This window comes from Homo sapiens, chromosome 5 (genome assembly GCF_000001405.40).
Source record: "Homo sapiens chromosome 5, GRCh38.p14 Primary Assembly".
Lineage (NCBI taxonomy): Eukaryota > Metazoa > Chordata > Mammalia > Primates > Hominidae > Homo > Homo sapiens.
Window position 1 is genome coordinate 146,902,385 of NC_000005.10, and position 21,614 is coordinate 146,923,998.

General features: G+C 39.0%; 1 protein-coding gene and 2 long non-coding RNA genes across 9 annotated transcripts in view; 1 reads left to right on the forward strand and 2 right to left on the reverse strand.

Moving 5' to 3' along the window:
- Positions 1 to 21,614, reverse strand: part of PPP2R2B (protein phosphatase 2 regulatory subunit Bbeta) — a 500,779-nt gene that overhangs the window by 321,643 nt on the left and 157,522 nt on the right. The window lies entirely within an intron of this gene.
- Positions 11,823 to 17,122, reverse strand: PPP2R2B-IT1 (PPP2R2B intronic transcript 1). The gene is made up of 4 exons (NR_047115.1): positions 17,008 to 17,122; positions 15,990 to 16,004; positions 15,439 to 15,527; positions 11,823 to 12,050 (listed from the first exon to the last, which is right to left on the reverse strand). It is a non-coding gene; the product is annotated as a PPP2R2B intronic transcript 1 (long non-coding RNA).
- On the forward strand, positions 15,967 to 21,154 carry LOC105378214 (uncharacterized). Of its 2 annotated transcripts, none has more exons than XR_944386.3 (2): positions 15,967 to 16,052; positions 20,865 to 21,154. It is a non-coding gene; the product is annotated as an uncharacterized LOC105378214 (long non-coding RNA). The 2 variants fall into 2 exon arrangements; XR_944385.3 differs by lacking the exon at positions 15,967 to 16,052 and adding an exon at positions 20,576 to 20,664.

Genomic DNA, 21,614 nt, shown 5'->3' on the forward strand with positions numbered 1-21,614 from the left:
TATTACGACTCATCTAATATAAATAATAATAGCAATAATAATATTGCTACTACCCACAACAATTATTACAACTACTTCTAATACAAATAATGCTTACCATGGATCAGGCTTTGTTATATGCATTTTACATAGATTAACACATTTAATTGTCACAAAAATCCTGAGGTCTGGCTCTAGATATACAACTACACACGGCCTCGTTAAAGTGCTCTTAACTGGTTGCCTTTTCTCTGTCCTCTTTCTAATCCATCCTACTCATTTTATTGACAGACTAATTGTCCCCACACAAAGATCTGATCAAGCCAAAAGCCATCTGTGGTTCCCCAGTGCATTGAGAACAACATTCAAACTCCTTAAGCTGATAATCGTCCTCCCAAGATCTGGTCCTAATCTATACTTCCCAATTCAGAGCACACCTCTTCTCTACACATAACAAAGTTTTGCTACACTGGAATCAGTTTATTTCTAATTATTTTCAATGCACTAATTCTCAAATTGTGGTATGAGCACCTCTAGGGATCCCTAAAATTGCTTTAGGAGGTCCATAGATCAAAACCATTTTCATAATACGAAGATGTTATTTGCTTTTGTAACTCTCATTCTCTCATGAGTGTACAGCAGGGTTTCCCAGGCACTCTGTGATATGCGATATTACAACAGACTGCAGAAGCACATATGAGAACCTGTCTTCTATTAAGCCAGATGTTAAAGAGATTTATAAAAAACATAATGTAATGCTACTCTTCTATTTTGGGGGATATATATAGTAATTTTTCATAAAAGCATGCCATTGATGTTAATATGTAATGAGTTTATTATTGTTATTTTTAATTGAATTAATAAATAATTTAACTGTCAATAGACATTAACCACATTAATTAAAGAACTTTGAGGTTCTCAATCATTTTTAAGGTTATAAGGTGGTCCTCAGACCAAATAGTTTAAGAAACACTGTTTTTTTTGTTTTTGTTTTTGCTTTTGTTCTTTTCTTTCTTGCTTTCTTTCTCTTTTTTTTTTTTTTTTTTTTTAGAGACAGAATTTCACTCTGTTGCCCAGGCTAGAGTGCAGTGGTACAATCTTGGCTCAGTGCAGCCTCTACCTAGCAGGTTCAAGTAATCCTTTCACCTCAGCCTCCTGAGTAGCCGGGACTATAGGTGCATGCCACCACACCTGTCTAACTTTTAAATATTTTTTGTTGAGATGGGGTTTCGCCATGTTGCCTGGACTGGTCTCAAACTCCTGGGTTTAAGTAATCTGCCACCCTTGGCTTCCCAAAGTGCTGGAATTACAGGTGTGAGCCACCATGCCCAGTCAAAAGAACCACTGTTCTAATGCTTAAGAGTACATGCTTTAAAATCAGATTGACCTGGAGTTCAAATCCTAGTGATACTGATAATTTTTTTGACCCCAGGAAAGTTAAAGTTGTATCAGAATACTCAGTTTTCTCTACAGCAAAATGGGGATAATAATTATTGACCTTACAGGGTAATATGAGCAAAATGCTTAAGCCAGAGTTGGCACACAGTACCAAATGGTGCCAAATGATAGATTCTTCCCATTTCATGACTAACATAATGATCATTATATTGTCATCTTCTAAACATGCTCCGGGGTTTCCTGGCTCAGAGTAATTAGTGATATTCTTGTCTCTGCAGGGATTGTCCTCTCAGAGACTTGTCTAACTACTGAGAGCCAACTGTAGTAGGCTAGTATTTGTAGAATGCAGACATCACTCTCTCTCTCACTCCTATAGAACCAGAAAGACCAAAGTATTGTATTTGTTCTTGAGTTTCTAACTCATGAACTGTAAGAGTCTGGTGCCTAAGAAGGAGAAAAAAATTTTTGAAGATCAAAATCTTGCCTTTAAATACTGATCCACAGTTCCTAAAAGTATGAAAGGTCAGTATTCTGGGGAAGAAAAAGGAAAGAATGCAAGTTTATTATATAAGAACATTATTATAAAAGGAGACCAAAGTTTGACCAAGTGGCAGAAAGTAGGAAATCAATAGGCTTAGTCTAGAGATTAAATATCTACTCAGCCTCTCATGAGGCTTATCAAGCCCAGTCCTGGGGTAGGAGGTAACTAATGGAACTAGAGGAAAGTTGTAGAAAATTCCACAGGCAGTATTGGGAGCGTGTTCCCCGAGTCCTAAAGTATAGCCCAGAGAGGTTGTAAGCTTCTTGGAGAAACCTCATGTCTAACCAATATGGTGCTTGAGTAATGGTTGTAACCACTGATCATACAGACTGGCTGAAGACATCTGCTTGAAGTCCTGTAGCCTCAGTATAGAATGAAAGAGACTGCTAAAAGTAGCTTCATCTCCTTGAGAGAAAAGCAGAAACAGTTAAGAACACAGTGATGAACCCAAAGGTGCCAGGAGTCAAAATGAGGGCACGGACATGGTACTGGAGGTCATGGTAACACCACATTTAACAGCAGCAGGTTAACATTAACATGAGGAACCAGATACAAAAAAGTCACACCCAAGCCAAGACTGGGAGAAAACATATACAAAACATGTTTGCTAAGGAACTTATATTCAGCCTATTTAAAACAACTTTTACAAATCAATAATTAAAAGACAACCTGATAAAAATGGGGGCAAAATATCTGAACAGAAATTTTACCAAAGGATATATATGAGTGGCAAATAAGCACCTGAAAATATGCTCAACATTATTAGTCATTAAGGAAATGAAAGTTAAAACCGCAATGAAATACCATTGCATCTCTACTAGAATTGCCAAGACTAACTATGTCAAGTGTTGGTGAGGACATGGAGCAATTGGGACTCTCATACTTTGCTGGTGGGAGTGGAAAATGGAACACTGGAAAATATTTGTTATTCCCCTATAAAATTAAACACACACCATTCAATCCACTCCTGTATATTTATTAGGAAGAAATAAAAACATATCTCAATCTACTCCTCTCCTGCATATTTATTAGGGAGAAATAAAAGCATGTCCACACAAACATTTGTACTTGAATGTTCTTGTCTTAAGTTTGAAATTTTTAAATTTTTAAATTTTTATAATAGAGATGGGATCTCACTATGTTGACCAGGCTGGTGGTCTTGAACTCCAGGCCTCCAGTGATCCTCCAGCCATGATCTCACCTTGACCTCCCAAAATGTTGGGATTAAAGACATGAGGCACTGTTCCTGGCCTGAATGTTCTTAACAGCTTTATTTATAAGCCAAAAACTGGAACAGCCCAACTGCCCACCAACTAGTGAATGGTATAGTACATCTATACAATGTAATACTACTTAGCAATTAAAAGGAACTCACTCCTATTAAATACCCTCTAAATAAATCTCAAAATCAATGTGATAAGTGAAAGAAGTCAAACAAAAGGCTAAGTGCAATCTGATTTTATTCATATAACATTATAGAAAAGACAAAACTATAGAGTCAAATGGCAGATCATTGGTTGCTAGTGCCCAGTGGTGGTAGGTTGGGATTGATTTCAAAATAGCAGGAGTCAGCTTTTGGGGATGATGGAAATGTTCTCTGTGCTATCCAGTATGGAAGCTCCCAAGCCACATGTAGCTACTGAAATTTTAATTACATATAATTTAAATTAAATAAAATTTAAATGGAAATAAAAGTTATAATGGAAAGCTTGTAAGCAGGATTGAAACAATTTGGACATTTGAACCTATTTTTTCAGCTGTGAATTTTATAAGTTCTAAATAAAAATTAAGTATTTCTAGTAAAGATATATTGTCTGAGTTGAGATATGTTGGAAGTGTAAAATACACAATAGACTTGAAAGAATGGATGTGAAAAAAGACATAAAGTAGCTCCTTAATATATTCTTATATTGATTCCATAACAAAGTGATAATATTTGAATATATTAAGTTAAAGAAAATATATTATTAAAATTAATTTCACCTGCTTCTTGTACCATTTTCCATTTATTTATTTATTTATTTATTTATTTATTTGGAGACAGAGTTTCACTCTTGTTGCCCAGGCTGGAGTGCAATGGCGCGATCTCGGCTCACCGCAACCTCTGCCTCCTGGGTTCAAGTGATTCTCCTGCCTCAGCCTCCCTAGTAGCTGGGATTACAGGCATGCGCCACCACGCCCAGCTAATTTTGCATTTTTAGTAGAGACGGGGTTTCTACATATTGGTCAGACTGATCTCGAACTCCCGATCTCAGGTGATCCGCCTGCCTCGGCCTCCCAAAGTGCTGGGATTACAGGCGTGAGCCACCGCACCTGGCCTTTTTCTTTTATTTTTAATTGACACATAATGATTATGCATCATCATATTTATGGGGCACAGAGTGATATCTCAATATATGTATCTTTCTTCTACTTTTTGGAAATGTGGCCACTGGAAAACTTTTAAATTATGTACCTGGCTCACCTTATACGTCTATTGGGCAGTACTGTTCTACCTCATGACTGTGGCAGTGGTTACAACACTGTATGCCCTTGTCAAAACATATTGAATTGTACATTTAAAACTAGCACATTTTTTGAAATGTCAATTGCACTTTATGCAGCTGATTAAATTTAAAGAGACAATCTACTTCTAAGAAGACCAGCCGAGTTACACTGTAGCAGGAGACAGGATGAGTAACACAGGAAGGGGGCGCTGCAGGGACAGAGGCCTAAAGGGAAGACCAGGAAAGGCAAGAGGCTCCTTGGCTGATTGTGGTGAGGACAGAAGATAGCGCAGGATGCCATTCCGACAGGGAAGTAGGAAAGTACAGGAGGCTTTTGTGGGTGTAAAATGGAATGTTTAGAGCCTAAATTATCAGCTTAAGTCTGAAAACGATTGTATAAGCATGAATTGGCTAAATTACATTTTTTTTTCCATCAGCAGATGTAGAAGTTAAAATCTAGAAATAAAGCTGCATTTTTGCACAAGCGAGCTGGGGGATTATTACAACTACGTATTTTAAGCCATCTATGTGCATTTTCCTGAAGCTCAGCTCAAGCAGCTCTTCTCCCAGAGCTTCTTCAGGACATTGGTTAAAATGAATGTGTTCCCATATGAGCGTTCCCAAAGTTCAGCTTATATTCCTATTATGGAAAATTTCATGTACCCAGGAGCCAAAGAAAGTGGAATTAATGTCCTTACAGAAGGGCAAAGTCTACAACAGCATCTCTGTGCTGCCTGGTCATCACCAAGTTGGAGAAAGGGCTAAGGGCAGGTGTACCTGAACATCCCCCCTGAGGCCAACCCATCAGCTATAGTGTGGAACACACTGTGCCTCACACTGTTTAAGTTCTCTACTTGGGAGAAACCCCCTTTTCCATTATCCTGTATAAATGCTGTTGATTTGTCAAGGCCCAGCTAAGTTTTTGTCTTTTCCCATACCACTTTCATTTTCTACTGCTTTGAAATCCTACACTACTTTACTGTTTAGCAATTGTGAGTTATTAACTATTGGGTCCTGTGTGTTTATTCTGTCTCCTCAATCAAATGGTGAGGTTCTTGGGGGCATGCCTTTCATTTCCATAGTATGCAGTGGTTTGTTAGTCTTTCAAACTGGCTGATCAAATGTTGGCAGCATTGAATTCCCTAGAAGGAAAAACCATGTTGTTCTTCCTTATTAATAAATATGATCATAGAGAAAAACTGCCGAGCAGAACAGCAGCAGCAATGATTTTATGAGCATACCCACAGCCACGTTCTTTACATTAATTCTCACGTTTTGTCTTCTAAATCAAACTACATGATACCTATAACCATGGTTCCTCAAGTGACTGGAGGTACCCCAGGGCACCACAGTGAACTTACAGGAAAGCCAAGACAGATTTTAAAGTTTTGAGGGAAACACTTCTGTGATACACCATGCAAAATATTAGCTTGAAGTAGATCACAGTTGCAACATTAGATTGTACTACATGACAGATCTTTGTAAAGGTTGGTTGTGATGAAAACCAAGTATGGTGCAAAATTCAACATGGAAGAGAAAAGTCTGATTCCAAGTTTCAAGGAATTATGCAGTACTCAACAGGCACACATATTCTACTAGTAAGTTCTTGGTGTTTACTTAAAAATTAAATTTTTTTTTCTTTCAATATGTATATTTTTCAAAAGACTCCTAAATTTTTTGAACATACATATGTATACAGCTGTTTGGGCCTAGCTACGTAATAAAGAAATTGTTAGATTTTTTTTTTTTTTTGGCATAGGGGTGTGTTAAACAATTACTGAGACACTAAGGGCTCCATTAACAGAAAAAGTTTAGCAGTCTGCACCCTGTAAGGCTCACATCATTGTTTTCAGGTTGTAGTTGAAGAAGGTGATGACCTAGAGTGTTGAGAAACTTCCCAAAGGCCCTACACTAGTCAGTGTCAGACCTAGGATTCAATTCCAGCTTCCCCTCAATATAAAACTCATGCCTTCTTTCTTCCTTTCCCGCCCTCCCTTCCTCCCTTCCTCCCTTCCTCCCTTCCTTCCTTCCCACCCAGGGTTTTGCTATGTTGCCCAGGCTGGAGTGCAGTGCCGTGATCACGGCTCACTGCAGCCTCAAACTCTTGGGCTCAAGTGATCCTCCTGAGTTGCCTCCCGAGTAGCTGGGATTACAGGGGTGGGCCCTGGAGCTCAGATCGTGTTTTTCATCCTGGGTTTACTTTAAGATCCTTCAGATCAGCTCCTGGAGGCAGCCACCAAAGAGAAAGCAGATGGTCCATGGAGAAGTAATAGTGGGAGAAGATTTCCCCTGCAGCTAAGAGAGGGCAGTGGGAGGTCACAGAAAGTAGCAGGGTGAGTGACCTTGACTGTTTCTGACCACCAGCTATTACCACAACATAAATTTACACTGAGGAATTAAGAGACTAACTAGGGGTTCCATGGGGAGCTCATCCATCCTCCTAGACCATGACATTCCCCCACACTAACATCAGAGGGAAGAGTGGGTAACTTATCAGTAAGTAGAGCAGTTCTTGAATTCAGTTCATTTGCTTCTGGGATATTCTTGGATTTTTATTCCAACCCCAATACACTTCAAAGAATGACAATGTGACCCTTTTCTTGTCCTAATGATCTGGGAGCATTTTCCTCACCATTATGCACATGTTACTACCCTCTTAAGAGGTCAGTAAAGCTCTTCATTTCAAAACCTGATTTATTTGCATTCATAATCTCCCTGTTAGCTAGGCAATCTGCATAATAACCTGGCATGAAATATTTTTAACCAGGCTTTCCAAAATATAGAAAGAAGCCTTCCTAATAATGGAAGGCATTCACTATCTTAAACTGGAATCCATTTACAGATTAAATTTGCCAAGAGGTCAGCTTGCAGCTGCCACTGTGTTGCAAGCCCGCATGTCCTCTGTGTCACATCCTGTGACATATCTTGAGAAGAGTCAGGGTCTTTTCCAGTCTGCTGGTTCTGTGTTTCAATTAGAATAGATTTAAGAGTCCCCAAGCTCTGGTTTCTAGGTGGCTTTGCACAATATTATTAATAATTCAATCATACCTATGCTGATAACAGATTACATTTCTACCATCCCACAAAAAAGCCCAAACAGATTAAGGACTACCCCTATGGCTAATTTCTTTAGCAGTTTCATATCTGATTGACATCCATTTATCTAATTGCAGCTAGAAGATTTAATTTCCATTTCATTGGCTTAAAATTAATAGGAAAAACCTGTTTACTTTTTAAATATTTGACTCATCCTTTCTCATCTCCTGAATAATGTTGAGATAGTCCATTCTATGGGATGGATTCTACAACTTATCAGTTTTCATTCTCTGAATTCATTTCAGGCAAGCCTAGCTATTTACAATTTGAAGTCTAACATAAAATTTAATCTTTCATTGCAAGTAATTTCATTTTTCACGAGCCTAATAACAAGAAGGTAGCAGGGTGTTCATTTAGAATTTCAAAAAATTTTGCAGATAGAAAAAAATTTGAAGGCTATACAGCTATGGATGCAAAAGCTAGTTTGATCATTTATGAGCTACAATGCCCAGAATAGGTTACTTAACTCAGATTTGAGACAAGGATGAGACAAGTGTAGTGCCTCAAGTGCAAGATTTAAAGGAAGTGCTCACTCTTGGTGTTATGCAAGGTTGGGAGAGCACATGTACAAACATGCAGTGAATACCTTTATCCTTAAATTTTGTGCCATATGATTGTTGCTTCCTTTACTCTAGTCCTGGGAAGATCTCTGACCATTAGTTGCCTCATCTGCAAAAGGGTGATGGTAATAGCAACCTTCTTCATGGTGGTGTAGTAAGGATAAAATAAAATAATTCACTTAAGCACTTAGAATATTGCCTGGTACATAGTAAGCACTTAATAAATGCTCCATGATGTTACTGTTAATAATACATTACATTGTATTGTACAATTTGATCATGTTACCTATAGTCTTTCAGAAGTTTCTTACTTTTTTAAGAAAATGTATAAAATCATATTTTTAAAAAGAATATAGTATAAAATCATTAGCATGTCCCCCAAACCTAGCATAATCTGACTCCATGTACTTTTCTGTCAATATCTTCTAAAGCTCTCCCTGAATATCCCACTGGTCTTCCTTTGGGTTCTTAAATAATTTATGTTCCATATTCGTCTACCTGTCACAGGGCTTCTACATAGGCTGTTCCCAGTCTAAAATTCTTTTCCATCCCTTTTCATATAGTTAACTCTGCCTCATCTTTTATATCATAGTTCAATCATCATTTCCTTAGGGCCCAGATCAGATTGTCTGTTAGACACTTTCTTTTTTTTTTTTTGAGATGGAGTCTTGTTTTGTCCCCCAAGTTGGAGTGCAGTAGTGTGATCTCAGCTCACTGCAATCTCTGCCTCCTGAGTTCAAGCAAAGCTCCTGCCTCAGCCTCCTGAGTAGCTGAGACAACAGGTGCACACCACCATGTCCGGCTAATTTTTGTATTTTTAGTAGAGACGGGGTTTCGCCATATCGGCCAGGCTGGTCTTGAACTCCTGACCTTGTGATCCTCCCACCTCAGCCTCCCAAAGTGCTAGGATTACAGGGGTAAGCCACGGTGGCCAGCCTCTTGACTTTTAAAATAAATCACAGTTGGTACTTATGGATTTATTTTTCTGATTATTGGATTACTTTCTCTCTATGCCACTAGATGCTAAGTTAGTTCCAAGAGAGCAGAGACCTTTCTGCTTTGGTTGGCAATTTATCCTCACCACAGTAGCCTGCAATCAGTAGGTGCACAATAAGTAATTGTTTAAAGAAGGATATAAAAATAATATTGCCACTGGCTATCCTAGCCAGGGACGAGGAAGACACTTCTTCACATGGGAGACTATTGCCTTTTGGATTAAGAGTTCTTACTGCTTGTCTTCCTCATAGTGAACCCAAATACCTCTTCCCTCTATATGGCCACACCTAGGTCCAATTTTATTTCATAAGCAACCACTTTCTTTGAACATTTTATTAGTTCACAAATACTTGTCAAGTGCCTAGAATGTGTAGCACACTAGGTTTAGTTGGGTATATACAATGAATAAAGGTACACTTCCTATACTTAGGGTTTTTTCAGCACAGTGGAGGACGAATCACATGCACAAAGCTCTGATTTAAGAAAGTGTAGAGTGTATATTCAGTTCCCTAAGAGGCCAGGTGCAGTGGCCCACGCCTGTAATCCCAGCACTTTGGGAGGCTGAGGCGGGCAGATTGCCTGAGCTCAGGAGTTCGCGACCAGCCTGGGCAACAAGGTGAAACCCTGTCTCTACTAAAATACAAAAAAGTTAGCCGGGCATGGCGGCATGTGCCTGTAGTCCCAGCTACTTGGGAGGCTGAGGCAGAAGAACTGCTTGAACCTCGGAGGTGGAGGTTGCAGTGAGCCGAGATCGCGCCACTGCACTCCAGCCTGGGTGATAGAGTGAGGCTCCGTCTCAAAAAAAAAAAAAAAAAAAAAAAGTTCCCTAAGAGAGGTACAGCATACCCTAAAGAGAGTGACCTTATCATCTGAGGAATCAGTGGCCACTTCCTGAATGAGGAGATTTTCTGAGGTAACATCTGAAGAATGAGTGGGAGGTATACACATGAAGAGTAGTGGGGAGAGAGTGAGCATTCTGAAAGAAAGAATAGAGGGGGGATATTTAGGCATTCTGCATACTTGCAGAGTTGACATATCCACGATCTCTTGTTCTTTCAACTTTTCTTTTTTCTTTTTTTTTTTTTGTTTTTGAGACAGAGTCTCCCTCTGTCGCCCAGGCTGGAGTGCAGTGGCACGATCTCGGCTCACCACAACCTGGGTTCAAGCAATTCTCCTGCCTTGGCCTCCTGAGTAGCTGGGATTACAGGCGTGTGCCACCATGCCTGGCTAATTTTTTTTTGTATTTTTAGTAGAGACGGGGTTTCACAATATTGGTCAGGCTGGTCTTGAACTCCTGACCTTGTGATCCGCTCGCTTCGGCCTCCCAAAGTGCTGGGATTACAGACGTGAGCCACCGCACCCGGCCTCTTTCAACTTTTGATTCATTCATTCATCTGCTTATTAATTCATAACAAACACCAAGTAAGTCTCTTCAATGTGTCAAGTACTACCGTCATATGGAAAAAAGACTAGTCCAAGCTCTTCTGGGGATTATATGCTGGTAAGTTCAAATCCTATCTATAGCCAAGAAACTCTCACCTAACTTGCAGAAAATGTTGTTAAAAACACTATGTGTTCAGCCCTGTAGGCAGATACTTGCCTAATGCTTTATTTCAGGCTTTTTTGGAATGCAGCTGTCCTCTGGAGGCCCTGTCTGCCCATGCAGGTAAGATGTTCTGAAGGCAAGAATGAGTTTATATTCGGCGGAAATAGTCTATTTCCTGTGATTTTAGAAGCATAGAGTCAAGTGCTTAAAACAGAAACAGTGCCAAATAAATGTTTGTCCTTGTTATTATTATTGCCTCTTCAGGATGGTAGGAGAAGGCAGAGGGAAAGGATTGATGCTTTGGAAGAGGTAGTCTTCACACGCAGCCATCCCATGTTTAAGAAAGGCAGGGAGGACTCCAAGGGTCTTACTCTCTCCCATTACAGTGTCTGGCCATCTTAGCCCACACTTTCAAAGTAGCCCTACATCCAAGGCAGAAACATGCAAGGAAGTTCTATGCTTAGTAAAAATTGAAAGAAATAGAGGCCAACATATAGTTCCAGTAATGACTGAAATTCTATTTATATTCTAGGCCTCTTTACTTTTTGATTTTCTCATTTTCAATGTTTTTTTTTTCAAACATCACATTAAAACAGCTCACTCGGTCTCTTGATCTCCACTTTGCCTTTAGCTGAGGACCCCACAAGACATGGTTCTTGGTTTGTATGCTCATCTTTATTTTGAAAAACATAAACTGAATTGAGAGATGCAAAATTTGAGGAACGCTCTCTAATACCATAAATATACATTGATTGCTGCCCAATCATTCAACTTTAAGGACTAAAAGCTAAACTCTTAAATCCTTTAGTGAATTAAACTGCAAAAAGGGATACTTAAAGGTGATGGGACTATTTACTCCCCATTTACCTCCTACGTCCTACTAAAATGGACCTAGCTCAGTGCTTTTCACTTACTACTTACGTGGTCTTTGGTAGGATTTTTGTTCTGGCCAACCCAACTTCAAATCTATGAGGTTATAAGGAATCAGCAAACAAAATGACATATGGTGGAGAGCAGGTGGCTTTGAGAGGCAATATTAACTATGTATATATGAAATCACAACAACTATAAATATTTAATTTCCAATGTTTGAAAGAGAAAAGAGGGTTTCTTTGAAAGTGGACTTAGTGCATATGTAAATTAATTACAATTCATGACATTCATTATTTCAGAAAATGATGCAATAATTTAAAACCAATATTGACAGTTTGAATGTTACAATACTTTTAAAGATTTATTGCCATACATTTTCTTTTCCCGTTAAAGAAGACCTTCTATTATGAGCAAGATGAAATGCAAAATAGAGGCCACATGCTTTCTGCTTGTCAAGCTTGTGTAACTTGGACTCAGAGGAGAACATCCATGGGGTCCTTTGGGAAGCAGTGGTTAGGGTGGTGGCAGTTTACACAATTGTCCCACTGCACTGCATCCTGGTACGTCATTACAACCTATGTAAAGATCACCTCCAAAATTAATGATTTGTATGCTTTCCTGGGCACCATTCTAATCTCTGGTGATCTTCAACTTTAGTATGCATCTGTATCAACAAATTTGATCTCCTGACATAATCAGCTTTTAAAAGCACTTAAAATCTGGGAACCAATTAGGCATTCATATGGTGTAAAGGAGCTATTGCTGCAAAAAAATGTTGTTGGCCAGGTTGGCCCTAATTTGAGGATGAGACATGAGTAGATGGGGACACTGGCAAAGAATAAAGGTCATATGTTGATGAATAAGTATAGGGTTGGGTTTTATGAACAAAGCCATTTCTTTGGCTACATAATGTAGACAGCAGATTTGGTAGCCCAAATGGAAGATCCAAGACCTAGTGGGAGTTGGCATATCTTGTGTGGTACAATTTAGGGCCAGGGTACTTAAAGTCTTTCTCTAGCTCAAATGTATCTCCCCTACTAGTCCTCCACTTTCAGTATTCGAATCGACAGTGGCTTCCAAAAAGGTCATTTTCATAAAGATGTTCTGGTTAAAATGCACACATTAGAGAGCTAAAAAATCAAGATGTTGTTTTTTCTCTTTTCTTTTATTCTCCATATCAAATTTAACAGAAGATTCAAGGTTTTATGTACTACATTGCTCTCAGATATATCCTTATCTATCTTCACTACTACCAGTCTGGTCCAAGCCACCATCATCTTTCATCTGGGCTTGGTAACAGCCTCCTCACTGGTTTTCTTACATCTAATTTTGCCTCTTGAAATTTGCTGTACTCTGCCAAGTAGCCAGGAAAAAATTTTTAAAATAAATGTGAATCAGATCATGTCATTCTTCTACTTAAAATCCTCCAATGTCTGCCACTTGGATTCGGAGAAAAATTCAAATTGCTCACCCTGGCATTCAATGCAAAACATTCTTCTTACAGCCCTTTGCATGCCCAGCTCTCTCTCATTCATACATCATCTTCCCCTCCTACTCAATAAATCCAAAGAAGTCATTCTACCTATGTACACACACACACACACACACACACACGTACACATGTGTGCAATTTACATACCCCTCCCCCACTGCTATTCCTTCATAACAATTGCCACTATGTGAAATTTTAGCACTCCAGGCATTCAGCCCTCTGTCCTGAAGATGTTGTTCCTTTACCCTAAGTTTAGCTGTCACACTCAGGTGCAGAGTTAGAGAAAGAAACATAATATTTCCTTAACGACTGACTCATAGATTCACTGGCCTTTGTTCCTTTCCAGGTTACCATTCTATTTGGTTTATATATTATGCTGCATTCTGAGCCACTACAACAAAAATCACTGTTATTGGGCCCTTCTCCTCTGCCCAAATTCTTGTGCTTGCCTCCTCCTTGCTAATATTTAAAAATCATTAACCAAGACAAAAAAAATCAATTTCAACACTGTTACAACATCTTTGTCTTCTCATCCTTTTTTGCAATGAAACTCTTTTAAGAAAACTTACTGCCTCATTACTCTGAATTCTCACCCTCCAGGGGTGATGGAAAAGTCATGTTTTTAGAAACCGGACTTGTAAGACACGTGACTTTCACTTTGGGGTGAGTTATGTTTCCCATTAAACTAAAAGCTCCTTGAAGACAATACATTAGTATAGCATCTCTAAAGAAAATAAAAAATTGTATCACTTTGAAGAGGTTTGTACAGCATCTGACCCACGGTTTGTACTTAAATATCTGTTTTGAAACACCACATTACCCACAACAAAAAAATGCAAAGGGTTAGTACTTTTAAAAGGCATTTCAATTTTTGAGTTATTCAAGTTCTTTTCATCCCAGAAGAGTGAAAAAAAAGAAAATTCTAACCACATGTTACCACCGTTTTTTTTTTTTTTGACGACTCAGAGGAAGTTCTATCTCTTTGAGTATATAGTAGGTCTCATTATATATTTAATCAAATGATTTCAAGTATGAATGCTGGGCAGAGAGTGACAGAGAGAACTAAAGCAGGTGACTTTCCTTCATTCTTCTTTATCTGTCTTGGTTGCTATTGTACTCCTACAGCCAAACTCAATATCTGACACGTGACTGGCACCTGAGGTATGTGAAATAAATGAATGAATGCATGCAGCTAATACATGACAGAGTATTCCAAGCCAGGTTTTTTTCTGATTAAAAACCCGTATCCCACAACTAAACTGTATTGACTTCCCTCATCCATCTGAGTGAGTCCATACTCACTCAGCTCCAAACAGTAGCTCCAGATTCTTGCTATGTAGTTGAGTGTTTAATGTTTAATCTGTAGACTATGCCAGAATAGCAACTCTACAGGTGAAAAGCTCAGTAGTTTCAATTTTGTGACTTGTAGTAAGAAAAAAAGTTGGGCACTGAATTAAACATTTATTTAGAAAATTAAATTGAACCAGTTTGCATATCATGGCAGCCACTGATATAGCTCTGCCTCTTAATAGCTGTGTAACTTTTGATAAGTTACTTAACATCTTAATCATGAATTTGCTCATCTAAAAATTACTTATACAAATATAAGTAATTACCAAAGGTATTTTTGTGAGAAGTAAGAAAACGAAGGTAAAGTACATAATGTGTGGCATGTAATCAGGCCTTAAGTGAAGGTTATAGCAATTATTACAAATAATCCCTATATTATAGGAATTATTTGGGTTTCTGAAAAGGTGGCTGGGCAGAAAAGATGAACAATCTCTTCCTTTGAGTCTATTTGCTGATTTAAATTTAGTGGCAAAAGCAAGCTGCATCATAGTTGCTCCTGTAATAACCAGCGACATGGGCTCTACACCCTGCCTGCACAGGCTGTCTTTGCTGTGCACTATAAAGCCTTTGCCAGGCCCAATACAGTGTGAGGCACACAGTGGGTGCTCAAGAAATGCTTGTGTTTTCCGATGCCACTTTTTGATCCTTGCTATATACCCTCCTCGACTGCCATTATCTATGTTTGTGCTTTTGTCACCAAGCGCCTACCTCAGTAAAAGGTCATTCCTTGTACAGCATTATATATGAGCCTCAGAGCCAAAAAAATGTTTATTCTGCTCATTGGTGTCTATCAATTTAAGAAATCCATTTTATAAATAAGGATCTTCATTTATATAGAGGTTCAAAGTTATGCCCAAGGGCACACAATTAATGGTAGAGTTGGTTCTAGAACCTAATTGACTTGGTCCCTTCACATTTTTTATAAATAAGGTGGGTTACAAATAAATAAATATGTATCTTCTGCCTCCCAGTTAATATTCTAATACCACAGTGGCTGGCAAAATCAACCTCTTCAATTCTTTAGTTCAATCTTATTTCATAATCTATCTGTAGCAAGATCTGAGGTGAAGCAATGTGAGCAGTCTAATGAACTTAGAAATGATACATTTTGCTTTCCTCACCTTTTACTGAGTCCTGTTGTTTTATTTGCTACTCAAGGATGCGAAGTATCTGTTTAACAGTAAAGTGCCAAGCAATCTGACATCTCCTCCTGATTAAAACAGAGTCATCTCAAATACAGATGGATACATGTCATTATGCAAGCTATCTGCTTTTCAGAGCTGCTGCCTCAAACTTCCTGCAGTAAGATGCCCCCTCACACTCCCTGCAGTCCCCCATCCCTGGCACTGGCTTTCCTTGAAAACATATAATCTTGTCTACCTGCATTTTTGTATGTTTAGGCTCAAGCAAAGAATCCATTATGAAAATGACAGAACTGCCAGAAAGAATTATGACTTCACTGCTTAACAAGCTGTGAATTCACTGTGGAGGTAGCAAGGCAGAGAAGCAAAGAAACAGGAGGAAGAATATATATGAAGGGAAACTCGCCTTGGGCTCTGCACTACTGCAAGTTGAGAATGGTTTTCCCAGCCTTTCAGGATTTCCATGTTTGCTCCACCACAAACTACCTAAGTTTCTTTCCATAGTATGGGGCAGGATTTTTGCCTTTTACCTAAAGTTGGTAATACTTAGAATGATGAAGTTGATGATAATGGCAGCTTGCATTTATTGAGAGGTAAATAGGTACTAATAGTAGGCTAAGCATTTGTGAATATTATTTTATTCAATATTCACAACTTCTCTATATAGCCCTCTCATTTAAATCCTTTAAGGACTTCCCATTGCCTTTAGGATAAAGTCCAAATGTTTTAACATAGTTTATGAGACTCTCTGAGATTCCACAAACTTTTGCCTCTCTCTCAACCTCATCTAATACCACTCTGCCCCTTTCTGGATGGGTCTGGTCTCATCTATACTTTTGGTTCTTCCTGTGTTTATACTTTGTCTTGCCAATAGGCCTTTAAATATATTCCCTTGTAACCACATTTCTCCCACTAGTCACCTGATTATCTCATACCTCCCTTTAAGACCTTACTATTTTTTTTCCTGAAGAGGCTATCTCCAGTTTTCCCTGTTGTTTGCTTCCAAGGTTAAAAAAGAGGAAAAACTCTTTTGTAACTCAATACTTGAAATGACTATTTAAATTGCACCTTTTCTGCTAGATTTAACCTCTACGAAGGCTGACACCGTGTCTACTAATTCACAGTTGTTTCACTAGCCTCTAGCTGAATGCCTGACACGAGTAGACTTTGAATAAATAATTAGAAATCAATTATATGCAAAACCTATATATGAAAGTTCCCATTTCCTAGATGAGGAAACAGGTTAAGAGGAGTTAAATAACTTGCCCAAAGACATAATTAGCATATGGTGAAGCCAAGCTTTGAATCAAAGACTGATGTCAAAACCCATGTTCACAATTACTCTACAGCACTGTCTTCTCAAAATTCCCTCCAGCTATCACAGGAAAAATAAAGAATATTTCTACAGGATATTTGTCTTAGAGAAAAATTTAGTAGAAAAAGCTCCCAGGATTCAGGGAGGTGATCTTTTTCCCAACTAATTTCAGAGCTACATAAAAGAAGCTCAGTGATTTAATATCTTTCTGCACCCTGGGCCTGATGGTTTACCTCCCCAAAATCTGGTTTCTGTTTCTCAACTATAGGTGGTAGTGGATAACAGGCAACCTATAGCTACAGCTGTTAGTCCTTCCCACAGATCAACATGCAAAAGAGAAAGTGAGTTTCTCACATTCTGAGAGAGATGTTGCCCAGGCAACAAAGACAAAGCCAGAGCAACAGACCACCCAGCTGAGACAGGCTCTGTCTTCCGCACATTCTCCCATACCAGCGCCCACTTCTGTGGGGCAGCAGATGACTATGTTCATACACCCTTTTAATGGGGTGCCCCTGAAGGACTCACCTGCCACAACTGGACACAGTTGGCAAAGACATCTCCATGGACAGCCCAAACAATAGCTCCAGATTCTTGCTATGTAGTTGAGTGTTTAATGTTTAATCTGTAGACTATGCCAGAATAGCAACTTTACAGGTGAAAAGCTCAGTAGTTTCAATTTTGTGACTTGTAATAAGAAAAATAGTTGGGCACTGAATTAAACGTTTATTTAGAAAATTAATTAAACCAGTTTGCGTATCATGGCAGCCACTGATATAGCTCTGCCTCTTAATAGTTGTGTAACTTTTGATAAGTTACTTAATATCTTAATCATGAATTTGCTCATCTAAAAAATGGGCTTACAAATATAAGTAATTACCAAAGATATCTTTGTGAGAAGTGAGAAAACAAAGGTAAACTGCATAATATGTGGCACATAATCAGGCCGTACATGAAGGTTATAGTAATTATTACAAATAATCCCTACATTATAGGAATTATTTGGGTTTCTGAAAAGGTGGCTGGGCAGAAAAGATGAACAATCTCTTCCTTTGAGTCTATTTGCTAGTTTAAATTTAGTGGCAAAAGCAAGTTGCATCATAGTTGCTCCCGTAATAACTAGTGACATGGGCTCTACACCCTGCCTGGCACAGGCTGTCTTTGCTGTGTGCTATAAAGCCCTTACCAGGCCCAATACAGTGAGAGGCACACAGTGGGTGCTCAAGAAATGCTTGTTGAGGCTGTCAACCATGGGCCGTGCAGGCAGTTTAAAGCACAGTAGGCATCTGGATCTTTAAAGGAAATTGTACCGTTCTAAGAGTCATTAAATGAGTTCTTCAGGGAGGGCAGTAACAATATGCCACCTGATTGCTTTGTTCAGAAGTGCTTTCCGACTGAGTTAACCTACTAAAGATGCTGTTCTTTGCTACATAACTTCATGACTGCCAGTCCCTGCTAGGAAGTGGCTTTTCATGATGGCTTGCTGGTACGTGTGTACATGGAAGGAAGAGGCTGGCTACGGGGGAGAGAGCCCCAGAGCAGAATGAAGCTCCTGCCAACCTGTTCCAGCACACTGCTCCAGCACACTGTTGTGTCCTTTTATGCTGTGTGTGTGTGTGTTTGTTTTGTAGGGGAGTGGGTGGGTACGTCTGCAGTATCCCCTACGTTTGAAAAACAGGTCTGAATCTCATAGAATTCTGTTAGAAAATCATTCCTCAAGCATAACTTAATTTTCTGAAAGTATTTTATCCTTTGACCACCAAAACCTCTTTGGAGAGAATTAAAATGGAAAAATGTGTTAAGTAAGTACATCTCTAAATTAAACCATTTCTGCCTGGGCAGACCAAATTAGTCTTTTCTAGGGTGCAGGGTACAGTATGTTGTCTCTGGTCTTTGTTCTTCAGTAAAAGACTTCAGAGGGAAAAACTATTCTAGAGTGAATAACCTCCAAATGTTAATTTTGCAAAACTAATACTAGTGACTCATTAATATTTGTAAATCATCTAGATTTTGCTATTTTGAAAAACCCCATAAAGTGCTAATTAATAAAAGATATCATGTCTTATTAATGTTCACATAGTAATTACCAAAATCACAAATTCATCTGCTAAGTAGTCAGCAAACAAGACAAATGACTGTGCTCAGCTGAACAGATTATCAAATGCCTTTGGGAGTACAACCTGATAGCCCCAACTAAACCATGAATCAAGCAGCTACTCCTTTTGCCACATGGACAGGCAACAACAATTTCATCTCTCATGTGAGGTGGGACAGAGCAGTGGAGACATCCAGCAACTCGCATTCCCTAGAGCACACGTGCTTATGCAAGTGTCAGCATTGCTCGTGTATCTTTCTCTTACAAGCTTTTACTGACACTTAAGATTTCGTTTCTTAGAGAGACATGAGAAAAGACTCAAAAGATGTCACCTAAAGTTAAACATAATCCTGCTAGCTTCTGCATGTAAAATACATATTGGTGAGCCTTCTCAGCTCTCAAAATGGAGAAGAAATTTCATCTTCCTGTGAACTTCTATATCAGTTCATCTCTGCTTCTCTGTATCAGTTCATCTCTGTTTCTCTTCTGACACTCATTACCTGTACACATTCCACACCTCCTCCCCTAGAAAGGCATCTTAAGAACAGAGACCATGTCTCACTAGCCATTCAAGTATAACAACAAGTACTACTACTATTAATTATTTAGATGCCTACCATTTCTTATGGCTATAAATGTGCAAGTCACTTGGATGAGTGCTTTAATTTATTTAACTTTTATTTCTTCTTGTCATTTAATATTTACAACAGCCACTTAAGGTAGGTATATCTTCACTTTACCATGAGGCAAATGAGGCTCAGAGAGGCTGAGTGACAGAACTGGGATTCATCCCTAGGTCTGAAAGATTCTAAAGCCTTTGCTAAACTGTATGCTAAACTGTACCTATGCTAAACTGTACCTATCCAATATGGTGCCTAGTTGAGGGTTAAGTACATAGCAGACATTGATAAATATTGGTAGAATGAATGAATACCTTAATATCAATTAGCTTCTGCATCCCCTTGGTGGTTAAGATTAAACCTTTGCAGTTTCTACTTTTCTGTTTTCTTCCAAGTGTGCATGATATCAAGGATTATTGTTAGTACTGTGTATCAAAATGAAAGCTCACCTTACCTTTTTTATATCAGAAAATAAACACCTCTCCAGGACTCTCCCTCCTAGCTCAGAGACTGCCGGGATGATATTCACTATTGGACACATTTGATGGCTTTTCATTTGTATTGGTGTTACTCACATGTTGGACTGTAAGCTAGATGGTAGGAAGCAGCCTAGTGTTCTTGGCATCTCCTCCCAGCTCTCTTCAACATCCTAGACTCCACAGCACATGGGGCGGGGAGCTCAGGGTCTGGTGGCCACTGACTTCACAATAGTCAATGTTTCCTAATGGTGGGATAATAGGCTTTTGCTAGTTTAACCCTCTCAGCACATAGCATTCTCCCACTATCCTGGTAACAGTACCTTTACCCATATAGCCCATGTGCTTGGAGGAAGTACACCCTACTCTCAGTTCTAGAGTAGAACTCTGGGTGGTTTAAGCCCATCAGCACATCCCATTGGCTTTGCTGCAGTGATCAGTTAAAATCAGAAGACTCAGTTCAGGCCAGTGAGAAACAAGGAGGTGTTTGCTGGGGCTTCTGGGAAAAAATGCTTCCTGGCTCAGAGAACTACGAGGGAAGAGGTTCTCTCTCCCTGTTGGAGATTCATGTAGAACAATAAAGATCCGGAAGATAGTGGAAATAATTTTGGAAGTGTAATGGAATTCAGCTTTAGGAGTAAGCGAGATGTCATAGGAAGCCAAGAAGAAAAATGGAAAAAAGTATTTCATTTGATGACATAGGTGAGCCATGTAATCAAGCCTTGCTCCAAAGCTTTGACAGCTCCAGGTTTTTCCGCTACATGAGAGTCTAAATTTCTTTTTTTGTTTAGCCGGTTTTGAGCCAGATTTTCTCTGACTTGACACTAAAAGATTCTCAATATATCTAGGTGACAACTTTGATTGTTTCATGCTCATCCTCATATTTACTCTTCTTTTTCCAGAAAAACAAGTATGACAGAGGTCTGAAGGACCAGAGGGGACCACTTATTAGCTCATCACAAACTTGAAACAGGCAAAATGTACCTGTCAGAGCCTAAGTAGAACTGGATTGCATGATGTATGGCAGTGATCTTCCAGAGCGCTCTCAAGTGTGTTTGACACGAGTGAACTGTGTTCGAGTTGATTCTCCCTATGGCAGTCCCAAAGCCTAATTATGAAAACACGATAAGATCATTGCACAGTTAGACCATTGCACCATTGGCATTCCTAATAAACAGATCAGCTTAGCCCAGCACGATCCCTAGTGGGTTTGTCGGAAGCCCTTCTTGGGTTTCACAAATACTAAACATTTTCAAAGGAATTAGTGAATGGTAGGAGTGCAAATTAATTCAGCCATTATTGAAGACAGTGTGGCAATTCCTCAAAGACCTAAAATCAGAAATACCATTTGACCCAGCAATCCCATTACTGGGTATATACCCAAAAGAATATACATCATTCTATCATAAAAGACACATGCACACATATGTTTATTGCAGCACTATTCACAATAGCAAACACATGAAATCCACCCAAAGGCCCATCAGTGATAGACTGGATAAAGAAAATATGGTACATATACACCGTGGACTACTATGCAGCCACAGGAAAGAAGAAATGGTAGTTTGTTCCTTTGCAGGGACATAGATGGACCTGGAGGCCATTATCCTTACCAAACTAACACAGGAACAGAAAACCAAGTACAGCATGTT